Source organism: Homo sapiens, chromosome 10 (genome assembly GCF_000001405.40).
Source record: "Homo sapiens chromosome 10, GRCh38.p14 Primary Assembly".
NCBI classification, from domain to species: Eukaryota; Metazoa; Chordata; class Mammalia; order Primates; family Hominidae; genus Homo; species Homo sapiens.
The window spans coordinates 17,042,379-17,069,715 of NC_000010.11; the positions used below are offsets into that span (position 1 = coordinate 17,042,379).

The following is a 27,337-nucleotide window of genomic DNA, read 5'->3' on the forward strand; positions in this document are numbered from 1 at the left end:
CTCTCAGCACTCAGACCTTACACTATTTGTAAATCTCCAATTTCCCATGGCAAATTTTACAGATAATCTCACTAGTTTGCTCTGATTTTGCCTCTTATGTGCACTCATTTACACTTTCAGGATTCTGAAATTATGACAGAAAAATATCTCAGAAATGAAAAGAAAAAAAAGAAACCCTTAAACAATCTGATTATAACCAGAAATAGATTAGCACAGCAGTAATAAAATTAGATAAATGATTACATAGTCAAACAGATGTATCTCTGATAGAACTTAGGAGACCTTTTTATGTACTAGTGATACATTTCTGAAGAACAAAGCTATATATTAAAACTTAATATTCAAAACTATCTAGGATTCAGCCTAATCCCCAGATATAAATCAATGTGAATCTTAAAATTCATACATAATCAAGGTTAAATGTTATTACTCTTTCAGTTAATTCAAGGGATATTGTGTATACAGTTAATAATTTTGTGACTTTTAATTCCACTTTCAGATAATTACATAAAATTATGGATAAATTTTGATTCTGTGGGAAAAGATAATTGTGTAAAATTATGGATAAATTTTGATTCAGTAGAATTATGTTTCCAAAACCTAGACTTTACTTTGATAAAGTAAAAGTCTCTATCAAATAACAAATTCAAGAAAATATTGTTTTCTTGAATGTCCATTTTGGAACTAACTTCAAAAAGCATTTAATTCTAGAGCTAGAAGGCAGGTTTAGAGACCATCTAATTTAATCTCCTTTTCTAAAAGAAGAAACCATGGGACCACAAAGAAAAGTGACTTTCTCAAGGGTTAGGAGCCAGAACAAACCCCAGGCCCCTTGACATTTTGCTCAGTGTTCCTTTAATTCCATCATGTTGCTATCTGGGAAAAGTAGATTTAAAATGGCATCTGTACAATGGCCAGATTTTTCTACTGTAAAGAACATGCTTATTCCATGCATGACTCACATGGACCACAGCTTTCCCTAATAAAATTAAGGTACTTTTTAAGGTAGAGACTAGTGTGATAGAATACTATGTACATTGGAATAATATAATGTACACTGCAAGATTGCAATGTGTGAGGCAAATGAAAAGCTATTAGTCATTAGTCTGGTACACTGATCTTTCACTGAATTGCAACTCTCTCAGCATATTAAATACTCTTCTAAGTTTCTATAGTTTGCCAGATGTTTTAGTTATATGAGATTAAATTTAATACGTATTTCTCCCTCAAATGGAGTTAAACGATTCACAGAAGAAACTAAGATGAAGTTCAATTGCTCACACCAATGCGTTACACTTATTTCAGTTTGTTTCAAGAATTTGAAGGCCCACTCTAGGCACTGAACAGCGAGTATACATACTTACTCTGCCAGTATTCACACTTACTCTGCTGGTATTCACACTTACTCTGCCAGTATACACACTTACTCTGCCGGTATTCACACTTACTCTGCCGGTATTCAGCCTTGAAGCCACGTCCTTGCTGACCTTCATCTGTCCTCAGTTTTATAAACATGCTGTCTCCACTAGAACGAATAAGAGGGGGTTTCTCATCCCCACAAAGCTGAGTTAGCAGATGAGAGTTGCTACTTGGGCCATCATATACCTTTAAGAAAATATTTTGAATGTTAGATGGTTGAGACTATAAACATTATGTAAAGGACTATAATCCAGAAGAAGTGAGGAAGAAAAAATATATATATTTATTATGTATATATATTATAAATAAATATATGTAATTATATATAAAATATTATAAATATTCATTATATATAATATATTTATAAAATAAATTTATTTAATACATATATTTTTATATATGTATTCAACACATATGTTTATATTTGCATTAAATACATATATTTATATATGTATTAAATATTTATATGTAAACATAAATATATATAAAATAAATATATCTTTATATATAATAAATATATATTTTTTGTTATATATATGACATCACAAAAGAATAGCCATGAAATAAAATAACCTTATAAATTATATTTAGGTATTTATAAACTCAGGCCATAAACTCAGGCAATTAAGCTGTGGACATGTGCAGCAGTAATAAGCGTGTGAGCTTACACTGAAGGCTGAATATTGAAAATGAAAGCCCAATACATATTGTAATGCCACAGCTGATGTCAACTGTCCTCCTTGTTTTTTGATTCCATAGTTTATGATTCATGACACTTCAATACATTTTTATTTAGATTTTTAACAAATGAACAATGGTGAATTGCTGTACTGTGAAAAATCCTAGTGGAATGACTCATATTATCTTCTCTACTTCGCCAAAACTGTCTTCTAAATTGTGATTTTTCAATGCATATGTGGAAAAACATAAATAATGATTATAATAAATCCTGTAATCCCTTTCAGGAGATTTTCACCATATCTTAATAGTCTATCAATATATTTTAAATACTTAGTGTATCGAGCCATTGAGTACTTCGAAGATGGTCACTTTCACCAAATTTCTTTTATGTTTTTATTTTGTTTGAATTTTTATATGGATGTTCGGTTTAGATGCTCCCCTTTCCTGAATCTCGAAAATAAAAATAAGTGCATTGTGCGTTGGGTGAGATGGGAGCAGGGAACAATATGATGGAAACATTATACATACAGCCAGGTAATCTAAAGTGCAGTTTGGATGATGCTCCAAGTGAAAGTCTTTGAATTCCAGTTCAAATGCGCTGCCGTGGCTAGATTTCAACCACCAGTAGCATTCAGAGCTGTGGTAATAGGGCATCGGGTAGTTGGGAGATATGAACGTGCCGCTTGAAGTGGTGAGATTACCCCCGCAACCTACAGGAGAAAGAAGTGGAATGACACACACCCCTTTCCTTCTGGGGAAATTGAATCTTTTTGTCTGCATTAAACTGGTGCCATTCTACTATCCTTTAAATCAAATTGCACAGCAAAATGGCATCATGAAAGAGTAGTTATAGCCTAAAAATCCAATTTTTATTTTTTTCTATTTTTTTTTTTTTTTTTGAGATGGAGTCTCACTGGGTCACTCAGGCTGGAATGCAACGGCATGATCTTGACTCACTGCAATTTCCACCTCCTAGGTTCAAGCGATTCTCCTGCCTCAGCCTCCCTAGTAGCTGAGATTATAGGCACCTGCCACCACGTCCAGCTAATTTTTGTATTTTTAGTAGAGACGGGGTTGGCCAGTAGAGACTATGTTTAGTAGAGACTATGTTGGCCAGGCTGGTTTCAAACTCCTGACCTCAGGTGATCCCCCTGCCTCGGCCTCCCAAAGTGTTTGTGAGTACAGGAGTGAGCCACAGCACCCAGCCCCAATTTCCATTAATGCAATTTCCTTATTCTAACCAGGATTCTTATTTATTGATAAAAAGAAACTAGAACTTTCTCCCTTTGTCTGTTAAAAAGAAATGGCTGCTGTTAATTTAAAATTATTTGCAATATTGAAGTTTAAATACAGCTGGGCAAACATGGACAAGTGAGGGACAGAGCATGACAATCCCAGAATCAAGAAACCAATCAGATTGGCTTCTCCAGTAAAAGACAGCTCTTTGCTATTTACCTGTTGATGACCCATCCCAGTAAGCTGAGAATCCAGACCTTGTGTCTATTTGGTCACTCTTAAATTTTAACCATAGTTTGTTACTATGAGAGATGATTGTTGGGGGTAGATTTGAGCCATAGAATATTCCCAGCAATGGTGATTTTTCATAGCCTCCATCTCTGGCAGAATACAGAAATTAAAATTTATTGGGTTACTGACAATATTACTGTATAAACATTTAACATAATTTGAACTTTGGGATTGCAAACATTAGCAGTTTATTGGATGAAGTAATTTCTCTCAAACACTACACTTACTCTAAAAAACACGATTTTCACTTTTAAATTTTTAAAAATCATATTTGAATGACTTAACAAAGAATAACCATCATTCATAGCTGGTATGGTGTTTTATATAACCAATCACAAACTGAGAGAATATGTTTAATCTTCACCCTTTCGAATAAAGCCTCTGGCAAATGTGTCAGAGAAAACACGATAAAGAAACTATACTATTAACTATATAAACATACTGCTGTATTTTACAGAGAATCTTTCAACGTTTTCCTTCTGATTTGGAAATTTTTGAAATGTAATATATCATATTTGATATACTTAGCAAAATTCTGGAAATAGCATTTTCCTAAAAACTTCTGGGGCCTTAATTCTAGTTTATAATCTGTAGCTTTTTGAAACAAACAACAAAAAAGGGATTTATTCAACATCAAAGTCCAGTGAGTAACTGCTGTAAATTAAGAAAATTATGTCATTTTAGCACGATAGGGTCCAATTATGATTTATTATTTTAATACCTTACTTTATATTATAGAATAACATTTATAATACATAAGATTCCAGATTTAAAATCCCAAATAAAACATTTGATATAGATGCCCACCAGAATGATTAGCCTAATTTAACTCAAAGTAGTGGCATGGAGAGATAGTAACATATAAGCTAACTTACTTTTACTGCAAATATAACTTTTTAAACACATTCTTTCAAAATGATGATAATGAAAGAATAATGCCTTGTACTGAAATTCACAAGCCTAGACTTTTATTACCTGAACATGAAAACTTTGTGAAAACTTTAAGATTGCTATCCTGCCATCATTTTATAATATAATTAGATTAAATGAACAGCAAACAGCCTAAAATTTACATCGATTTTACATAATTAAAGTAGGTATTCAACAGTAGCAAGTTACATCATTTCAGAGTAGTAGCACATCTGTTTCTTTGCCCACATAAAATCTGGAGTTTATTTTCAAGTATTTCCAATAAAATAATCACTTCAAAATAACCACAGAATCTTATGCAATTCCTGTATTTCTCCTAAGTCAGGCTCCAAATGACAAACTTTATTTCTTGCAAGAAAGTGCACAGCAGGGAGCTTTGCAGAGAATTTCCATATTTTTTTCCTTAATCTTCCTAGGAAAGATTATTAATGAGAATAAATAATGAAAAGATTATAATGAAATAAATAAAAGTGCTGACCTGATTTCCAGAAAATCTGTATAATAGTTTCCAATGGCTTCCTCCAAGGAGAAGTTTGTGAAGTGCACTGCAATCAGTTGGCCAGTTCTCACTGTGATCCGATAAATGCATTCCCAGTTGTTGGGATAATTATTGGGGAAGTTTGGAGAAGTGAATGTCCCCAAATCATCTGTGTAGTCTTGCAAACATGCTGTGAACAGAAACAGACCATAAGAGAGAAAATAGAAAATATTGATATGTTTATAATACATCCAGTAATATGTATTTCATTAATTTGTGCCTATACTTGATTTTCAATAAGCCATTCTGGAATGTGCAAATAAAGACTTCATTCTGAAACAAAGTTTTTGTAATCTTAAAGACAAAATAATTACCAACACTAAATCTAAGCTATGGAGAGGAAATTGTTATATATATCTTGAGTAAACAACCCTTTAAGTCTTGAAAGTGTTACGTTTTTCTAATCCTTGCAAATTACCATAAACATTAAAAATTAGGATCCACTGCAGGAGGGCCTAGAAATAATTCAGTCTTGCCTTTTCATAAGCTCCCTTTAAAGTGGTTTTCACCAAAGCATGCATTTATGAGAAATGACAAAGCAGGTACCTCCACCACGGGGTGAAGAATAAGGGCCCAGGCTCAAGGATCAGAGTGATCTCGAATGAAAACCCTCTCAAACACTGTCAAGCTCTGCAGCCTTGGGAGAGTTACTGTACTTCTCTAAGCCTTAGTTCTCACATCTCGCAAATGAAGAGGATTGCTACCTTTGACTGAAGGTTTAAGAGTTAAAGATAATGCATTACAAGGGCTTAGCCCATGATATGCACTCAGTAAATGGTGGTCATTTACTTTATAAGGAAGACATTAGGTCATTTATAAAACATTTAGCATAGTACCTGGACAATTTTGAAGTCCTAAATAAATATCTTCTTTAAAAACTTTTCTAGTTTAACAGTTTTAACGTTACCTATTCAGTCGATTCTGTGTTTATTACCACCCACTCAATCTCCTATGCCCTCCAAATCTGAAATATTTTACAAAGAAAATCTGGTTTGAATGCTTTTGTTTTTGTTTTTGCTTTTGAGACAGGGTCTTGCTCTGTTGCCAAGGCTGGAGTGGAGTGGCGGGATCTTGGCTCACTGCAACCTCTGCCCCCCGAGTTCAAGCAATTCTCCTGTCTCAGCCTCCCCAGCAGCTGGGACTACAAGCATGCACCACCATGCCCAGCAAATAAATGCATTTTTAATGTATTTCCAATTGCATCCAGCCATAACCTAAATCTAGGGTATAGGAGTAGACAGAGGTCTCCTACTGAAAGGTTTTGGATACAATAAACTATTGTGTTTCATTGTGAGTCAAAATAATAATAATAATAATAAGGATGTTTAGTTATGCTGTTTCCCTAGTTGCTGCTATATAATCCCCAAGCTCAGAAAAGAAGAATCATTGGTATTGAAAACATAGAGATGCATAGAACATATTATAGGTTCTACTATCTGTGTGTAGCTCTCAAAGGAATGGGCATTCGCCAGATATTTGATTTTACTCTATTTTAAACAGCAAGCAATCAAGGCTTTACTTTATTGAAGGAATTCACAGTGACATTTAACACCAAAGATTATGTTTAACTCCAAAAGTATAGAAAAGTATGCTTCTCTGTAGTCTGCCAAAATATTTCCACAAGTGGAAAGGAAGGTAGAGAGGAAGGGAATAAGACAGACAGAAGGGAGACAACAGGAAAGGCAGAAAAGAGGGATAAAGAGAGCGGGGAGGAGTATAGCATTGGTCTATTAATATTTCAGACCCAGTAATGAAACTTACTAAGCTAAAAAAAGGACATCAAATGAAAGCAATGACCCAGTATCCCTGAGTTGACAGAACAGACAGACTCATTGACCCACACACAGAGAGCTTTGGCCAGTAAATCAAATATTTAGAGGAAATTATCTGTCGTCACTTGTTCTTGCTTACTCACTGTACTCCTGGAGGGGAAATACAATTGTCTTGCATATCTCTAATGCAACTTGTCTGTGGGAGAATGTTAAGTGTGATTAGGTCTCAGGTGGAGGAACCTGAATTAATGACATTTTGGGGCAATAATGATGGGTAGTTTCCCTTTATCTTGCTTACATGAATGTGATTATTCTGGAACAACTGGTGGGAGTCTGTTAATCTGTACTGAAATTTTGATTTACTCACCAAGCTTCTTTTCTGTTGCTGGCACAAAAGTAAACTACAGTTCTTGATGTGTTCCAATGATATTTACACCATTCACTTTGTCTGAAATGCTTTACCCTTTACCTAACCCGCCACCCAACAACCCCTGCCAATACACAGTTTAACATATACACTCTTACCCATCATTTAAGGTTGGCTGAAACCTTTCCCAACCAAGCAGAATTAATTTATTTAGCATAATAAAATTTTATGCAAATAGCAATTTGAACCCCAAACATATTTTGTAATTGTTTTTATGTGAGTATATTTACCTTACTAAACCTTGGGATATGACTAAGACTTTATTAACCATTATTTACTATCACTGTAGTACCTGGCCCAGATGAGGTCCCAGTAAGTAGTTGTTGAAATATTATTACATGATGTGTTGGAAACGAAGGGGACTGGTACATGCATCTAAGTTCCTCCCACTCTCCCTACTCCATTCAGTTCTTCTCTTTCAAACTACCCCTAAACTCCAATCCTACGACTTCTATTTTTCTCACCTCATTTTTCCTCTCTCTCTCTTCTTCCTGTACTCTATCCTGGTTGGCTGAGGTTCTTTAATATTTTTTTAATTCCAGCTATGACAAGCAACTGTACTAAACTAGCTGCTCTCCTTAAGAACTGTAAAACTGAACAAAATATTGGACAATCTGCAGTACAAGATTGTGATTCTTGACAGAAAGGAAACTCATGATGTACGACTCTTGATTTCCTTGGCTTTCTACCTGTGCAGAATTTCCTGACCACAGAAGGGAGCTGAAGTCCAAGTAGTGAATGACAGTCCTACTGAGCTGATGATGCAAAGATTAGAGTTGCCAAAGCAGCTGGAACTATATGGAAATTCTACAGAGAAGAAGAAGTATATAGAGAGGAAAGCCGGGCATCTGAGTAGGGCTTCCCATGGATTCTTAGCTAAGCCTGGGCTGAGAATACATAAGGTGAGACTTCAGAAAGCATGTCAGACAGGAGCTGCTACTAGGCTGGAAGCGGAAACAAGATCATTTAGAGTTCTCTCCCATTCCAGAATGGGGATACCTCCTTAACACCTCAGGCATTCAAATGAGACACCTAAAAGGCCATATCTTACAAGTGAAGACCATGGCCAAGAGTAGGGCTCTCTAGAACTTCCGGGCCAAAGGATAAGTCTTAACAAGACCTGCAGGAATCATAGAAGTTGGAGGTAGAGACCTAGCAAGTTAGAGGGGCTCGAGAAACAGGGATGTTCACAAATATTCTTTAGCAAGTACAGATATAAACCTATGCAGATACAAAGTAATCAGCTAGATATCAAACTAGCTTCAGAGGAAGATAAGATAATACAGAGTGTCTACAACACATAATTTACCCACATGATATGGGACCCCCATATCATGTCCCAATCTATCATGTCCACTATAAAACCCAAAACTATTACAAATATTAAAAAAAAAGAGAGAAAATATGGGCCAGGTGCAGTGGCTCACACCTGTAATCCCAGCACTTTAGGAGGTCAAGGCAGGTGGATCATGAGGTCAAGAGATCAAGACCATCCTGGCCAACATGGTGAAACACCATCTCTACTAAAAATACAAAAAATTAGCTGGGTGTGGTGGTGGGCGCCTGTAGTCCCAGCTACTCAGGAGGCTAAGGCAGGAGGATCGCTTGAACCTGGGAGGTGGAGCTTGCGGTGAGCCGAGATCATGCCACTGCACTCCAGCCTGGCGACAGAGTGAGAGTCCGTCTTAAAAAAACAAAACAAAAAATGAGAAAATATGAATCAAATCAAGAAAAGAAATGTCATCAGTAGTCAAGAAAAATGTGGTCATAGTTGAGAAAAAAAATGTCATCTTGTGATTCAAAGATGATCCAGGTGTTAGATTTAAAAGAGAAAGACTTTAAAGCAGCCATTAAAAATATGTGCAAAGACTTAAAGAAAAAGCCTTAAAAAGTAAACAGATATGAAATTTTGGCCCAAAAAGGGAGAAAATTATTAAAAGGAACCATGAAAATTATATAACTTAAAATTACACTAATTCAAATTAAAACTTCATGACAAGTTTAACAGTAAACTGTAGGCAGAAGAAAAAAAGGTCAGTAAACTTTAATATGTATTAATAGACATAATTTAATCTAAAGAACAAAGAAAAAAGAACTCCAGGAAAATGGACAGATATTTAAAAAAACAAAGAAAAAACAACAAATAGGTTAACACACATACAATTAGAGAACCAGAAGAAGAAGGTAATAAAAATGGGCCAAAAAAGGAGAAGGAAATAGCGGCTAAAATTCTCCTAAATTTTATGAAAAATGTCTAGTAAGATATAGGAGTTCAGTCAATACTAAACAGGAGAAATAAAAGAAAACTACACTTGGACATGTCAGAGTGAATCTATTAGAAAACAGAAACAAGGAAAACACAGAAGCCAGTTGGGGCGGGGGGGAAGCCACATCACATACAGGGACATCATGATAAGGATGACAGCTGGCTTCTAAACAGAAGCAATGGAGGCAAGAAGAAAATGGAATACATCTTTAAAATGTTGAGATGGGGAAAACAGGTTTAAATATCCAGCAAAACTACTTTTTTAAAAAACGAGAGTGTAACATTTTTAGACAAACAGAAGCTGACATAATTTGTCACTGGAAGACTTGTACTGTATGAAATAATAATATCCATTGGGCCAAAGGAAAATGATACCAAACAGAAAATATCTCCAAGAAGGAATGAAGAACACTGGAAATGATAAATCATTGTATAAATATAAATGATAGGCTTTCTTTTCATTATCTCCTTAAAAGAGAATTAGTGATTTAAAGCAAAAATAATAGTAAGGTGAATTTATAATATAGAGAGAAGTAGGCTGGGTGCGGTGGCTCATGCCTGCAATCCCAGCACTTTGGGAGGCCGAGGTGGGCAGATCACCTGAGGTCAGGAGTCCGAGACCAGCCTGGCCAACATGGTGAAACCCTGTCTCTACTAAAAAAAATACAAAAATTAGCCAGGCGTGCTGGTGCATGCCTGTAGTCCCAGCTACTCGGGAGGCTGAGGCACGAGAATTGCTGAAACCCGGAAGGTGGAGGTTGCAGTGAGCTGGGAGCTTGCCACTGCACTCCAGCCTGGGCAACAGACTGAGACTCAGTCTCAAAAAAAAAAAAAAAAAAAAAAAAAAAAGAGAGAGAGAGAGAGAGAATTAGTGATTTAAAGCAAAAATAATAGTAAGGTGAATTTATAACACAGAGAGAAGTAAAAGATATAACTAAAACAGCACACAGAAGGATAGGCACATGGAATTACACTAGTATGACAGTATTTCACTTGTGAAGTATAAAGGGGAATTTGTGTAATATGAAGTGTCAGGTATGAATTGGAAGGTATGAAATGTAAAGCAGCTGCATATTAACTCTAAGAAAACTTGCTTATAAGTTAAGGAGTATATTTTTAGACCTAATGTAAAAATACAAAAAAAAAGGTATCATTAAAAAGACAATGAAGGAAATAGAATGGAATACTAATAATATTCTGTAAACCAAAATGAAGACAGAATAATGGCAACACAAAAAGAGATGAATGGAAAACAACTACCATAATGGTATGTTAAATTCAACCATAAAAATAATTACATTAGTTGTAAATGGTCTAAATACTTCAACTAAAACACAGAAAAAGCAGGACCCAATTATATGTTTTTTACTATGCATGCACATTATATATAATGATGCCATTATATATAATGGTGAAACTAAGTTGTAACTAAAAGAATGAAAAAAGATATACCATATGAACAGTAAATATAAGAAAGCTGAAATCACTGAAATAATATCAAACAAAAGTGACTTCAAGAAGGATAATATTATTAGATTTATAGAAAGACATTTCATAATGACAAAGGGGACAATTTATCAGTAAAACATAATAATCCTAAATGTGCATGCATGAAGTAATAGTTTCAAAATACACGAAGGAAAGTGAAAAGGCAAAAATTAAAGAAAAAAATAAAACCATGATTAGAGTTGAAGATTTTAACACCTTTCTCTCAGTAACCGAAAATGAAACAGATAAAGATGAATAGGGGTATAGAAAATCTGACCAACACTCAGCCGACTTAAAGCCAATTGACAGAGAGCACTACACTTAATAACTGCAGACAACACAGTTTTTCAAGCATACATGAAACATTCAGCAGCATAGACCACATGCAGGGCTGTAACACAATTCTCCATAAATTTTAAACAATTGAAAACTTAGAAAGTATATCATTTAACCACAATAAAACTGAAATTATAAATCAATAAGACATCTAGAAAACCTGCAAATATTTGAAAGTTAAATAATACATTTGCAAATAATCCATAGAACAAAGAAGAAATCACAAGATAATTGGAAAATATTTTGAACTGGAAGTTACTGAAAATAAAACATTAAAATTTGGGAGGTGGCTGGGCGCAGTGGCTCACTCCTGTAATCCTAGCACTTTGGGAGGCCAAGGTGGGCAGATTACGTGGTCAGGAGTTCAAGACCAGGGTGACCAATATGGTGAAACCCCGTCTCTACCAAAAATACAAAAATTAACCAGGCATGGTGGCGAGCGCCTGTAATCCCAGCTACTTGGGAGGCTGAGGCAGGAGAATCACTTGAAACCAGGAGGCGGAGGTTGCAGTGAGCTGAGATCGCACCACTGCACTCCAGCCTGGGCAACGAGAGTGAAACTCCGTCTCAAAAAAAAAAAAAAAACTGGGGAGGTGAAGTGAAGTAGTGCTTAAAGGCTATATCTATATCTATCTATCTGTAGTTAATTTTTATCTAAAGAAACTAGAGAAAAGCTAACTAAGGCAAGAATTAAATGAAATAATATAAGAACAGAAATCAATTAAATGGAAAATGCAATAGCAATAGAGAAAATAAACAATGTCAAAAATTGGTTCTTTGAGAAAATTATTAAAATTGATAGAATTCTACCAAAACTGATCAAAGAAAAAAGAAAAAAAACACAAATTACCATTTTCAGGAATGAAGAGGGGATGTCACTATAGAATCTTCAGACATTAAAATAATAGAAAGACACCATTACAAAAAACTGTGCAAATATATTTGACAACATACATAAAATAGATGAATTCTTTCAAAATTCCCATAACTGACTCAAAATGAAATAGAAAGCTTTAATAGTCTCTATTAATTGAAGAAATTAAATTTGTAATATAAAACCTTCCTACAAAGAAAACTACAGGCTCAAATAATTTCACTGGTGGAATTGTATCAAACAATTAAGAAATTGTTTATATTCCACAAACTCAGAAAATAGAGGAGAAGATATTTTCTAACTAACAAGACCAATATTACTCCTATACCAAACCAGACAAAGAAATTCAGGAAGATTACAGTTCAGTATGTCTTACACTGATGCAAAAATCCATAAGAAAATTTTAGCATAACAATTCTGAATACACGTAAAAGTTATAATAGATCAGAACCAGGTGGAGTTCTGATGTATTACACAAGATTGGTTTGACAGTAGAAAACTAAATCAACATAATTTACCACCTAAACAGAATAAAAAAAGAAAAGCTTTGAAAGATACCAAAAGATGCAGAAAAATTCAACACCTATCCAGGATAAAAACTCAGCAAGTATGCCCAGAAGGGAACTCCACAAACTGATGAATGGCATCTATGGAAAATCCAAAGCTAACATCATACTTAAGTGGTAAAGGACTAAACGCTTTCCTGTCAAGATTAAGAAAAAGGCCAACATTCCAACCTCACCCTTTCTGTTCAAGAATGCACAGAAAGTTCTAGCCATCACAGCAATACACATACACAGAGAAAGAGGGACAGAGAGAGAGAAGGGAAAAAATAAAACTTATTTAACTTATTCACAGTTATTGTCATCTATGTAGTATATACTAAAGGATTTATTTAAGTCATTAGAACTAATAACTGAGTTAAACAAGACTGCAGAATACAAGATATGTATACAAAAATCCATTTATGTTGCATATATCAGCCAAACAACCAGAAAGTAAAATTTTAAAATAGCATATATAATATGGCATGTCATTTTATAATAGCATAAAAACACGAAACACTTGATAACAAGTTTAATAGAAACATGCACAAACTCTACACTGAAAACTTTATTGCTGAAGGAAATGAAGGAAGATCTGAATAAATGGAGAGGTAAAATATGTTCATGGATTGGAAGGCTGAATTTAAGATGACCTTTATCCCCAAATTGGTCTGTAAATTCAATGCAATCTCAATCAAATTCTCAAGTTTTTTTATATATTGAAAAGCTGATTCTAAAATGAATATGGAGACACAAAAAATCTAGGATAGCCCAAACAATTTTGAAAAATAAGTACCAATCTAGAGGTTTTATACTTCCAGATTTTAATATACAATATGAAATTATGTAACATTAAGTAATATAATGTTCTATTGTTAAAGGGGTAAATATGTACAGCAGTGTGATGAAATAGAGATTCCAGAAGCAGACCTACACATGAACACAGGCAGGTGATTTTCAACAAAAATGCAAAAGCAATTCAGTGGGAGTGGGGGTGAAGGAGAATCTTTTCAATAAATGGTGCTTGAACAATTAAATACCATTTGCTAAACACACTTGGACACATAACTCACACCATATAGAAAAATTGATGCAAAATGGATCATAGAACACGTATAAAATCTCAAACTATAAAACTTCTAGAAGGAGCCGGGTGCGGTGGCTCACGCCTGTAATTCCAGCACTTTGGGAAGACGAGGCGGGCGGATCACAAGGTCAGGATATCGAGACCATCTTGGCTAACACGGTGAAACCCGTCTCTACTAAAAATACAAAAAATTACCTGGGCATGGTGGCGGGCGCCTGCAGTCCCAGCTACTCGGGAGGCTGAGGCAAGAGAATGGCGTGAACCCGGGAGTCGGAGCTTGCAGTGAGCCGAGATCGCACCACCGGACTCCAGCCTGGGCGACAGAGTGAGACTCCGTCTCAAAAAAAAAACAACTTCTAGAAGGATGCACGTGGGAGATCCTGATAACTTCGGTAGTGAAATATTTCTCAGACAAGATACAAAATGCACTAACCATAAAAGGGATAAAAGGATATATTGAACTTCTGTTCTTCAAAGGATACCATAAGGAAAAGAAAAGTTTAGCCACACACTGGAAGAAAATACTTGCAATACATTTATCTGGCAAAGGACGTATTTGTATGCAGAATATACAACATATGACTCATTAATAAGAAACAAACAAAAATGAACCATATGGTTTTAATGAACACCTCACAAAAGAAAATAAATGAATTGTCAAAAAGCACGTGAAAAGGACTCAGCACTATTAGTCATCAGGGAAATGCAAAATAAAACCATCAGATACTGCTATGCAACTGCCAGTGGCTAAAAATGAAAAGATTGGCAATATTAAGGATTGGGAAAGATGGAGAAAAGAACTGCTGCAAGGCAGGCAAGCCCCCATATTGGGACTCCACCCAGGAAGGTTTTGGGCTTTGGCCAGGAAAGAATTCAAGGGTGAGCTGGTGGTAGAAAAAATCAGCTTCACTGAGGTATCAGTGTTCCAGCTCCGTGACTGCTCCTGCAGAGCAGGGCTACCCCATAGGCAACGTGTTGAGGGTAGCAGCTTGGCGCAGTTGTGCAGTCATATTTACACCCACATGCAAATTAAGGGGTGAGTTATTTGGAAATGTCTAGAAAAAGGATGGTAACTTCTGGGTGTTGTCATGGCAATGGCACACTGTCATGGCGCTGTTGGGCATGTCTTATGCAGAGGTGCTTCTGTCTCTTCCCTGTTTTAGCCAGTCTTCCATCTGGTCTGGTGTGGAGCCCCAACTCCTATTTCAGAATTGTCAATCATATAGGTGGGAATATAAAATGGCATAACCACTTTGGAAAACAATTTGGCACTTTCTTATAAAGTTAAACATATCATTACCATATGAGACCCAGAAGTTCTACTCCTAGGTATTTTACGCAAGAGAATGAATACGTCCACAAAAAACCTGCAAGTCAATGTTCATGGTAGCTTTTTTTGTAATAGCTAAAAACTGGGAAAAAAAAGCTCAACTATCTAACAACAGGTGAACAGATAATCAAATTATGATATATCGATGCAATGGAAGGCTAGTCAGCAATAGAAAGAAAAAAACACATGAATACAGCAACATGAAAAATTTCCAGACACATTATGCCAAATGAAAGAAGCCAAGCCGGGTGCGGTGGCTCACGCCTGTAATCCCAGCACTTTGGGAGGCCAATTTGGGCAGATCAAGAAGTCAGGAGTTCAAGACCAGCCTGGTCAACATGATGAAAACCTGTCTCTACTAAAAATACAAAAAATTAGCCGGGCATGGTGGCGCGCACCTGTAATCCCAGCTACTGGGCAGGCTGAGGCAAGAGAATCGCTTGAACCTGGGAGGCGGAGGTAGCAGTGAGCTGAGATCGCGCCACTGCACTCCAGCCTGGGTGACAGAGAGACTCCGTCTCAAAAAAAAAAGAAGCCAGACACAAAAGAATACATACTATGTATTCCTGTTCACAGCTGCCTTTTGCACAGTTAAAACTATTCTATATTGGTAGAAACCAGGTGTGTGTTTGCTGACATAGAGGTTGTTGAGGAAACTAATAAAAGGAACACGAGGATCCCTTCTGGAGGGACAGAAGTATTCGATAGCTTGAATGGAGAGGTAGTTAAATGGGTGTACACAATTCTGAAAATTATGGATAAATTTACTGAAATTACAGGGAAAAATCCATATTATGTTAAAAGCTTGAAAGTTCTGTGCACAGACAGGTTGCACTCTCTAGAGAAAGTCCAATAAATAATTCAGATATCTAATAAAGAATACATAAAATTGAAATAGAGAAATAAAACATCATATTTGAAGGGACCCCTGCTACACGTATTAAACAATAGGATATTTAATCTTAAAACCTGATGGTAGTTTTATGAGATTCAAATTTCATAGAGAGAAAAATTACTATTCTCTGAACTTAATGCATCTATTTCTTGAAAGATTAAAAACCCCTCTTAACTATCACTGAACTCTATAGATGTTTACATTTCTTCCCTTGACAATATAAATGGCTCCTTCTAGAATAATAGTAATACTGAAAAATATCAATACTAAGTTTTGGTTTCCTCTTGTGATTTTCAACAAAGCACAAATGATTAAATTAGAATGTGTTTCCATACAAGGATATTTATGTGTTGGCATGATGCTTATTATTACATCAATACAAAATGCAAAGATAAAAATGTATCTATGCCTTTTATTTTATCTTGTATTGCCAAAGGAAAATTCATATCCAATATCAGTTTAGCCTTTTATTATGGTCTAAGAACATTTACAAAGAAATGAAAAATGAAAGTACATTTTTCCTATCCCCTAAATTCAACTGAACTAGCAATGGAAAAGCACATCTCTGAGGATCAAAGACAACTGTTGGCAAAACTCACATATTTTTCTCTCTGACCAACCTCAAAAAAAAAAAATGTAAAGAAAGAAATGAAAAAACATACAAATGCCTTCTGTGGACCATTACAAAAATCACAAAACTAGACTTTTCTAAAACTCACAATGTATCTTTGCCTTCACTAAACATTTTCAAATAAGTTTTTGTAACACAGGACTTGGCTCATTATCAAAGGGGAAAATGAGAAACATCTATAACCTTCCAAACCACAAAGCAACAATGATATCAGTCCCATAAAATTTGAGCCACAGAAATAGGATAAGCTGATCCTCTGGAGAGAGGAATGCATCTCATAGGGAGACTCTAGATTATGGGGAACTGCTCCAGCTCCTTCCTGCTTTGCATTATGGGATGATTTATGTGACTATCCAATTACATTGAGGCTCAATCTTTAGGCTATGCTTTCTGAAATCACTTATGAAATGTTTGGTTTCTGAATGAATCCATATGACCTCTGATATTCTAGGAATGTGCTAAATAAACAGCTAACCCAGGAGCCATCATCTGCTTCCACAGACATATTTGGTTTAGCATCCTTCAAAGTGAAGACCCAAGGGAAGATATAATTACAGGTTCAGTTTCTCCCTTAAGAAAGAAGAAGCCTTCTCAATCAAACTCAACATTTTGCTACAATTTTCTGCTAGGCGGTCATGGTCATTGCTTTTTCTTTTCCCTCTCAGATGACCAGTGCAGATTCATATAGAAATAAGCAAAGTAGCTATTGTAAAATTGTCCTTGGATATTGAGAATCATATTTTATATCTGGCAAAGTCATGGTCCTTTACAACTCTAATGTAATTTTCACATTGAATGTCTCATTTTGTCTTCCTCAACTTTGCAAAACAGCCAGGCATTATCACCACACTTTTTAGAGAGGTGTAGATGAGAGATCTCAGGTTCCTGGAGATTAAATTCTAAAAGACACTTAACTTCAGACATGGCCAAGATAAAATATGAACCCAAGTTCCCTCTTTCCAAATCCTATTCTCTTTAACAATCCCTGGTTTTTCTTTTCTTTTTCTTTTTTTTTTCATGGAGTTTCGCTCTTGTTGCCCAGGCTGGAGTGCAGTGGTGCGATTTTCTCTCACCGCAACCTCCGCCTCCCAGGTTCAAGCAATTCTCCTGCCTCAGCCTCCCAAGTGGCTGGGATTACAGGCATGAGCCACCACGCCTGGCTAATTTTGTATTTTTAGTAGAAACTGGGTTTCTCCATGTTGGTCAGGCTGGTCTCGAACTCCCGATCTCAGGTGATCCGACTGCCTCAGCCTCCCAAAGTGCTGGGATTACAGGCATAAGCCACCCTGCCTGGCCACAATCCCTGGTTTTTCTACACAGGAAATGTCAATTTAAGGATGAAGACAAGTAGGGAACTCAGAATATCATGATTAAGCATTTTGTTGCATTTTTATTCTAAGGAGTAAGAAATATAACAAACAAGATAAACGAACTGAGCAGAGAAGTGCTGGGACACCTGTACATACAAAATTATGAGAAAACACTAGCCAGTAAGAAAGTAAATCTTTAAAAGACGAATCGACTTACTACAACACCTTTTCCAGAGGGAAAATATCTGAATCTCTCATAGCAAAGAATACAGAATTCAAGGTCGATAGAAATAATCAGAGAGGCTTGTGAGTTGTCCAAAGTATTCCAAATTATGGCTGGGTGCGGTGGCTCATGCCTGTAATAACAGCACTTTGGGAGGCTGAGGCGGGGGGATCACCTGAGGTCAGGAGTTCAGGACCAGCCTGACCAACACGGTGAAACCCTGTCTCTACTAAAAATACAAAATTAGCCAGGCATGGTGACCATGCCTGTAATCCCAGCTACTTGGGAGGCTGAGGCAGGAGAATCACTTGAACCTAGGAGGCAGAGGTTGCAGTGAGCTGAGATATTGCCATTGCACTCCAGCCTGGGCAACAAGAGTGAAACTCCATCTCAAAAAACAAACCAACAAACAACAAAAACAACAACAAAAAAAACCCAAAAACAAACAAACAAAAGTATTCCTAATTAGTATCAAGGCTGAGAGTAGGACCAAGACTTCTGACCTCCCTACAGCATCCCCTTTCCCTGTGTCATGAATAGTACTTTCCATCATGAGCAGTTACAGTCCAATCCACTATTGTATCTCCCTTGTAATTCTACAGCAATTCACATGCTAAGGCTTGACTTTCAGAGTCCTTGATAAACTACAAAGTTTCATTAGAACCCCTTGAATTGCTTGGCGAACAAGCACCCTAGACCTATTTTAATCAGAATTTCTGGGTGGGGCCCAGATGCCTGAATTTATAGCAAGAAAATCCCCCATCTCAAATTCCTTATGAACACTAGAATTTGAGAACACTACACTCCCAAACTGAAGTTTTAAAATAGAAACAGAACTCTCTTTACCCGTTTAGTGTAAAGAAGGCCTCTTTGGGCATGTTTGTCATCATTTCTTAACTTTGCACTGCTAGATGCCTCTTCTGAGCTCATTCCAGGATCACTGATAAAAAACAGCACTAACCACCCACTGATGAGTAGGTGGGAACCCTGCCCTGGGAAGGAGGGAGGCCAAGAAAGCCCAGTAGGGCTCATCTCTAATCCTGTGTTGTTGTTGTTGGGATCATCCTTGGCCATTTCCCTGGACAATTGTGAAGGTTTTCGCTTTGCAGGAAATATGAAAAATCCACCACAGTTTGATGATAGCCCTGAATTAAATGTTACTAGCTGTTATATGCAGTTCATTTAGAGCGTTTCTAAGAGCTAACCTAGACATGGCAAAAGCAATGGATTCTAAGACGGGACTCAGTTGTTTAGTCTGACTTTCAAACCAATCAGCTATGTATTCTTGGGAGGATAAATTCAACATCCTAGACTTCTATCTCCCTCATTTAAAAATTAAGGTAACTGGAATAGATTTGTGCTTCAAACTTTCTTGACATACCCTAAAAAATACATTTACGTTAGCCACCCATGCGCGGAGATACTACAAACAGTTCTCATGAAGCGGCACCTTACTTTGTATGATAAACTCTGATACTTTCTCTCCTATTCCTTTCTATCCTACTCCATACTTTTAGCAATCACAAGTAGCAACCGAATAAATTAATTTCATGACTCACGAATGAGTCATGAATTGCAGTTTGAAAAGCACTGGACTAGATGTTACATAGGTTTTCCTCTAATATTAAAGTTGAAAATGAATCCGGTACATTTATCTGTCCCTGTTTATACTTTTAAAGTTCCCTCTTAGCAGGATTATATATTAATGTATATGCAATACATGTTAATAGAATATAAAATTTTACTTTAAATTGATAACATTAGTCAATTATAGTCTCTCAGGATTCAAATATTTTGTAGTTTGAATGAGCAAAATCTAATACGTTAAATTAAAGCTTAGTCTTGTAGTTTCTAAGAACTTCGTAAGAGTTTTAACCTGTTAAACCTGTACTTGTTAGTTCTTTTCTTTCTGTTTTCCCAGGCACATCTGGATAAAGGCAGAAACAAAGTAACAAGGGAGGAAGTCCCAGTAATCACAAGAAACCAATCTTTTTTCTCCCAAACACATATTTTGGGGCTGACATCATAGCCACATGGCACAAACTACAGATGGAAAAGTATCTGAACTCAAATCCGGAAACTTAACCTTTATCAGATGAAGACAAGAAAGACTTCAGCAGGCAAACTCACACCTGTTGGGCTGAGGAGCTAGAAATCAACAACCAAATACCAACATTACTGCTCTGGAAATAACTTCTGTTAGAACAATAAAGTAAGATGAGGGCAAATGACTGAGCTTCCCTTGATGCTTTTCCCTGATGCTATTTTATTCTGCAGAAAATATCCAACATACGATGACACCTGAAAAGAATGAGTCCTAGCATCTCTGTGTTTCCACACCAGCAGCTCACTCTGACTCTGGCTGCCTTCTAGGTCTAGCCACTGCCTTAAAGTACTAGCCCACCACCTGGTGTCACCAGCCCAACACCAGCTCAGTCTCCTGACACCAGCCCTTCCCTAAAAAATGCTGCAGGACCCCCCCTCAGCAATGCATGAGAGCCGATCTCTCAGGTCTTGATCTATGGGAAACTGTGACAGGCTCCAGAATTATAAACAGAAGGTGTGTTGTGTCTTCCTGGATCTCGTCATCTGATTGCTATTTAGAATGGCTTGACTGTGTTAGTCAGACCTATGAGTTCATCCAACAACAAGCGGGCACAGTGACCAGCCGGGCTCAGCCCAGGGACAGAAAGCAAACACTCCCTCGTCTGTGATTTCAGCCTTATGCAGACCAAATAGAGGCCAAAGTAATGATTATCACACAGGGAAGCCAGCTGGAGAATCTTTTGAGTTTCTATGAAAACATCGTCTCCCCTTCACTTTTATTGCTTGCTTTTTCTTCTCTCTTTCTTTATAGTTTCCTTTCCTGTCCAGTTTGCTTCTATCTCTTTTCCTGACTCATTTTTATTTTACGTGTATCTTATCTTTCTGAAAACTTTTAGAATTAAAATCTAATATCCTCCCTGCCCAATTATTTTAACTGCTCTGGGTTCTTTCTGCACAAAATATTGCCTTACAAGCTAGGATGGTAATAGAATTGTTTTACAAAGGTATGTCTTACTTTGCATATCATTACAAAGATTTCCACATTTTCAGGAGGCCCTGCCTGTATTATATGTTATCTAAGATACAGCCAGTTTATTCATGCACCAAATTAAAATTATGTTCATAGATGATTAAAGCCAGAAGTCATCTCTCGAAGATTACCAAATCCAATTCCTTAATTTTACAGATGAGAAAACTGTGGCCTAGAGAGTTCAAGTGACTTGCTCCAAATCCTGATCTAATATTCAGTGTGCTTTGGGGCCAAACATACCAGACAGATAAAACTACAACAGCATGAAAAATTGTGTGCACCCTATAATTTCTTAAGAAACCAATTTTGGTCACTGGATGTTAACCACCTGAATGAAGTCCAGTGAATACGTCAATCACACACCATAGCCTATTGTAACTGCCAGGGATTCCATTTCGCATGTGCTTGCACTTGAGCTGGATAATGAACTGCTCCTGCAGAGGTTCCTACCTGGGAGAAAAGTATTGATTGATTCTCTCACACTCAGGATTCTGGAGCAAATCTAAAGCCATGCTTTTGAACATAGAACTTGAACTGCTGCAGAGTTTTGCCTGAAATGAAGAGTAGTGGCCAGCCCCTCTGAAGGAGAAATAAATGGGAAATTGGGTAAGATTTTGAGTGGGAGATGTTTAAACTTTTATTTATTTTAGGGAGTGGGGACTTTAAAAGATAAGCATCTGGGGTTCTCAGGATGCCAGAGTGTGTCACAGGGTGCATGTCCCAACATAGGAAAAGCTACCAGTTCTTTCTGGAGGGAGCTCAGTGAATTGTACCATGCTGCTGGGGTAATCCCAAAGCGGAGAAATGCTTGGAAGCATGGTCACCATATGCCTACTATGGGTCTATGCTGGATGTTATTTGGGTCCTTTAATACAATGATGCAAAAGGAAAGCTCAGAGTCTCTAAAAAACAACACATCCTAGGGAAACATGAGCCTAACGAAATATGACTCCTTCATCAATCCCATGCACAGGCTCTTGGGGCTGGGAGCATCTCTGGTTCACATCTTACCTCAAAGACTGTGCCTGCAAAAGGGATTTGTTTCCTATACTTCATTTGCAAAGGGCATAGTAATAATGAGAAATTAAGTAATAGGAAAAATACAATGAAAGGAATAAATGCTGAAAAGTTTAACTTCATTAGGTCAAATTGAGAAATGCATATTTTGCCAAGAAATCTTCCATTCCTTTCCCTGGAATTTCATGCGGTAGTCTCTAATTTTTATACATTGTTATTCTGTTTCTAATTTCTTAACATAAGTATTCAGTCTCTTTGGTAACTTTTCATTCTGATAGAATTTTAAAAGATGCAAGAATGAGCTCCTGAATTCTTTTTACCCAGATTTATTATGTATTTGTATTCTGCTCCCATTACTTTATCATTTCTCTCTCTCTCTCCCCCCCCCCCCACACACACATGCACAGACACACAAATATTCACACTTATTATCTCAGCCAATTCAGAGTACTTTGGAGACATTATATTTCTTTACCGTCTGAAAACTTCAGTGTATTGTTCCTAAGGGAAGAAAAAACGTTCTTTTAACAAAACCACAGTACAATTACCAACATTAGAAGATTTAATATTGACACAATATTCTTATCTAGTCACTACTTTTAATAAGGAAGGTATTTAAGTCACTACCCTTTATTCTAAATATAGCTCTCATTGTGTGCCACAGGTTTGCGGATGATGTATTCTCATTGTGTTTTAGCTATTAGCACTGTTTTGCAATGGAGTCAATAAAACCGAGTATGCAATGCTGTTTTGTTACCTGTTGCTGCACTGATTGCTTCATAGTTTATTAAGAAGCCTTCATAAGCGAGGTCGGAGTCAGTCACAAACACCAGCATCAATGAGTTACCACTGCTTGTGAGAGATGGCGGGATCGACTTTCCACAGTATCTATTCCAAACCAAGAAAGGACAGATGTGTGTATTTTAGTTTGGTATACTGAAAATGATGTAACAAAAATTTGGACATGTAAATATAATAATAGGTTTTGTTCTCTACCTCTCATCAACCTTAAAACACAAATATATTTCAGGCAAAAAAGATTTGCAAACTTACGAAAGATTGTCCCGTTCATGATTATATCCCTGAAATGGTTTTAGGTATGTGACTGGCTATGTGAGTTGTCATGTATGAGAAGTTTAATAAAAGCTACACTAGATTGCCATATAGCATATTAATACACTTTTTAATAGAAATGTAATAAACTTATACAACAAAGGGAAACAATATATCATAAAATCATAGAGTCATCTCTCTAATCTAAACTCATAGATCACTCAATCCCTGTGCCTTGCCTTCCTCATCCCTAAAATGGGAATGATGACAGTACCTACTTCATAGAGTTGTTTTGAGAATGTGATGAGTTAATACCCTGTATATAAAGCACTTAGAACAGTGCCTACAATCGTAACCCCTATAGAGGGAATCTATTGTCCTTAAACAGCTCACTTATAAAGAGATAAGAGTGATGATTCAGCCATGCCATGTTTCTGCTGAACAAAAGCAGTTTAGCTCAGAAAAACTATTCTATTAATGTTAAAAAGAGAGTTGTGATAAAAGACAGAATGCCATGAGCTTTTATCTGGAGAAATACCTGTAGGAAGAAGTGACAATAAAATAGGAATCTCAAATCAAAGCACACTTGGTAAAATTAACCAAAAGAAATGATAAAGAAAACAAATATAGAAACCAAAAAGAGAGGAAATGTTGAGTACGGGAAATGGATACGTCAATTGCTAAAGGAGAAAAAGAAAGAAAATTTGGTGTATAATACCATTGCAGTGTGAAAAAAAATTTAATATCTTCATCAAAATAAAGGTAGGTGAACTAATTGATATTTTAAATGCCTTCGTATATGCCCATGTATATGAAATTTGGGGAAGATCATTATAGTTTATGCCATTCAGCAAACGTTCTGTATTTTGCAGTGGTGATGTGTTAAGTACCTTCCCAAAAAAGAAAAAGAAGAAAGTTAAAAAGATGAAAGATTAGGATAAGAAGGATATTTAAAACATGAATGAGAAATAAAGAAAATAAAATGCAAGATAAAGACATTTTAAAATATCAAAAGATTTCCATTTCCAACAGAAATGTAATAACAGGCTAGATTTAACTTTGCACCTGAAACAACAAAAATCCTGGACAAAAACGTATAAAACAATGGCTCTCAAAACACTGGATATCAAGCAATGTAGGACAACAAACCTTCAGAGACAGGAAACAAATGAGTTTAAAGGCAAAACTGAAATGGATCAACCTGTTTCCAAGTAGCTTAACTGCTTTCCAGAACAACGCTCATGAATACTTACAGGAATATGACAATGTCCAGCAGCCAAAAACATAAAATTGAAAATGTCTGGTATCCCACTGAATATTACCCAGACATGAAAAGACGTGGGAAAGTATAACTCAGAAAGAGAGGAAAAATCAATCTATAAAACCATAGCAGGAAACAATCCAAATGTCTGAATTAGTAGATAAAGTCATTAAAATAGCTACAACTATATCTCACAGATTTTTTAAGCTAGAGAAAAAAAATTCATGTGTAAAGTAGAGACATGGACTACATATAAAATGACTCAAATTGAACTTCTAAAATGAAAACTACAATATCTAAGATGAAAAATACACTTGGTAAAGTTAATAGCAGATTAGACATTGCATAAGAAAAGATGAGTGAACTTGAATATATAGTAATAGGAACTTTCCAAAGTAAAACACACAGAGAACAGAGGCTTGAAATCAAACAGACTATCAAGAGAGTTGTAGAACAATTTCAAGTGCCTAATATACATGAAATCAGAGTCCCTAATGGGGAGGAAAGACAGAAAAATATTTTAAGAACCAGTGGCCAAGAATGTTTCAATTTGATAAAACTACAAATCTTCGGATCCAAGAAGCTCAACAAAAATTATGCTAATTGAGGAAAGTCAGAAAAACATTCAGTACGTATAGTATGATTCCATTTAGATGATATGCAAACGAATCTACAGAGATAGAAAGTAGATTTGTGGTTTCCTGTGGGTGGGGGTGAGGAACAAAAGCAAGGAATTATAACGGAAAGGAAGAAAGTTTTGTGGGTAGTGGATATATGCATTATTTTAATTTTGGTTTTGACTTCATGAATATATACAGATGTCAAAACTTAATGCCTACAAGGCCACAACTACAGAGTAGTTATGTAGAAATGGTCATTAAGAAGCATGAGGATCTCACCTGGTTTTCATAACACAACGTGGTCAATTTTAAGATCCTTCACTGAAGCAGGAAATCAGTGAAGTTTTATTGTTAAACAAACAAACAAACATAACCTTACCTTCCAAGGGATGTCTCAGAGTCGGTGTCATAAACTTCCAAGTAGTCGTTTGTGCAATTGTAATGAAACTCCAGATGAAATGTTTCGAACATTAAATGAATCAGGTGATTAGGTTGGACTAATATATGCCAAGTACAGTTGATACCGTGGGGGTAGACATTTGGATGGCCAGGACTTTGAATGGTCCCTGTTGATTCTGTAAGAATTTCTCCACATGCTGTTGAAATAAAAATTATAATTACTGCAGCAAGTAACCAAGCTACCTGGATTTCAAATTAAAAGGCTCTGATAATAACCTCTTCAAAGATTAAAAGGAAAAATGTTTCTTAGTTGCCACTTAAGATAACCTGATTTTTCTCTTATTAATAAGTAACAATTAACTTTTGATATAAATGTTGATTAGAAAATATACATTCTTTGTCTTTGAGTGTACTTTAAAATTTTTCACAGTACAGATGATTTTCATATAATTTATTTCTATCATTCACTTATTCTGATACAAGCCCAAGAGGAGGAAAAAAAAAAGGGAACAGTCTCTTACCCAAATCCTCAGCACTGAACTTAGCCATGAAACCATGGTTTTCAGTAGAAGAACTTTTCACGAATGTGACATAAAGAAAATTGTACACAGATGTTATAAATGAAGGTATGTCTGTACCGCAATACTTTTTATTTTCAGGAGAACCCAAAATGGAACTGCTACCAATCTAAAATTAGAGAAGATATGTTCAAATATGTTGTATATCAATTTTGAAAACTGCTTCAAGAATAATTATTTCTGAAATGTTTTTAATGGAGTACAAATCAATTTGAGAATACAATCAATTTTAGCACATTTTAGTCACCCCCCAAAAAACACTCATATCCTTTAGCAGTCACTCCTCATTCCCCTGAAACCACAGCCCCAGGCAGCCACTAATCTACTTTCTGTCTCTGTAGATTGCCCATTTTGGACATTTCAAACAAAATGGGATTATACAATATGGGGTCTTTTGTGATTAGCTTCTTTCACACTGTATAACATTTTCAAAGTTCATCCACGTTGTAGCATGGATCATTATTTCATTCTTTTTTAATGCCTTGTAATATTCCACTGTAAAGATATACCACATTTTATTTATCCGTTTACCAGTTGATGGACACTTAAGTTGTTTCTACTTTTAAAATTAAAAATAATGATTGCATTTTGCTATTTGTATATGTTATTATAGATGATGACTGTAGATATATTCACATACAAATTTTTGTGTGGACATATATTTTCATTCCCCTTGAGAATATATCTAAAAGTAGAATTGCTGGATCAGATAGTATCTCTATGTTTAACTTTTTGAGGAACTGCCAACTGTTTTTCAAGGTGGCTGTACCAGTTTACATCTCCACCAGGAGTGTATAAAGGTTCCAATTTCTCCACATCCTTGTCCACACCATTATCTGACTCTTTTTATTATAGCTATCCTATGGGTGTGTCCTTTTGTTTTTGGCATTTCTTTTTTTTGATACAGGGTCTCACTCTGTTACCCAGGCTAGGGTGCAATGGCACAATCATAGCTCACTGCAGCCTCTACCTCCCAGGCTCAAGTGATCCTCCTACCACAGCCTTCTGAGTAGCTGAGGCTACAGGCGTGTATTACCACACTCAGCTATTTTTA

The 27,337-nt window shown here is 36.1% G+C and overlaps 1 protein-coding gene across 2 annotated transcripts in view, besides 1 other annotated feature; it reads right to left on the reverse strand.

Moving 5' to 3' along the window:
• The window catches only part of CUBN (cubilin), a 305,846-nt gene that overhangs the window by 218,413 nt on the left and 60,096 nt on the right, over window positions 1–27,337 (reverse strand). For both annotated transcript variants that reach the window (NM_001081.4, XM_011519708.3), the window contains exons 20-26: window positions 26,227–26,392; window positions 25,686–25,902; window positions 23,130–23,260; window positions 5,036–5,225; window positions 3,556–3,716; window positions 2,629–2,810; window positions 1,449–1,605 (exon numbers count right to left, since the gene is read on the reverse strand). In NM_001081.4, the coding sequence (NP_001072.2) occupies window positions 1,449–1,605; window positions 2,629–2,810; window positions 3,556–3,716; window positions 5,036–5,225; window positions 23,130–23,260; window positions 25,686–25,902; window positions 26,227–26,392 (1,204 nt within the window). The remainder of the gene's footprint in view (window positions 1–1,448; window positions 1,606–2,628; window positions 2,811–3,555; window positions 3,717–5,035; window positions 5,226–23,129; window positions 23,261–25,685; window positions 25,903–26,226; window positions 26,393–27,337) is intronic.
• Window positions 19,875–21,074: an enhancer, noted in NCBI's record as "MED14-independent group 3 enhancer chr10:17104252-17105451 (GRCh37/hg19 assembly coordinates)". NCBI's record gives its function as "activates an origin of replication core promoter dependent on BRD2, BRD4, P300/CBP and CDK7 cofactors, and independent of MED14, by STARR-seq in HCT116 cells {active_cell/tissue: HCT116}" and the evidence as "EXISTENCE:reporter gene assay evidence [ECO:0000049][PMID:35650434]".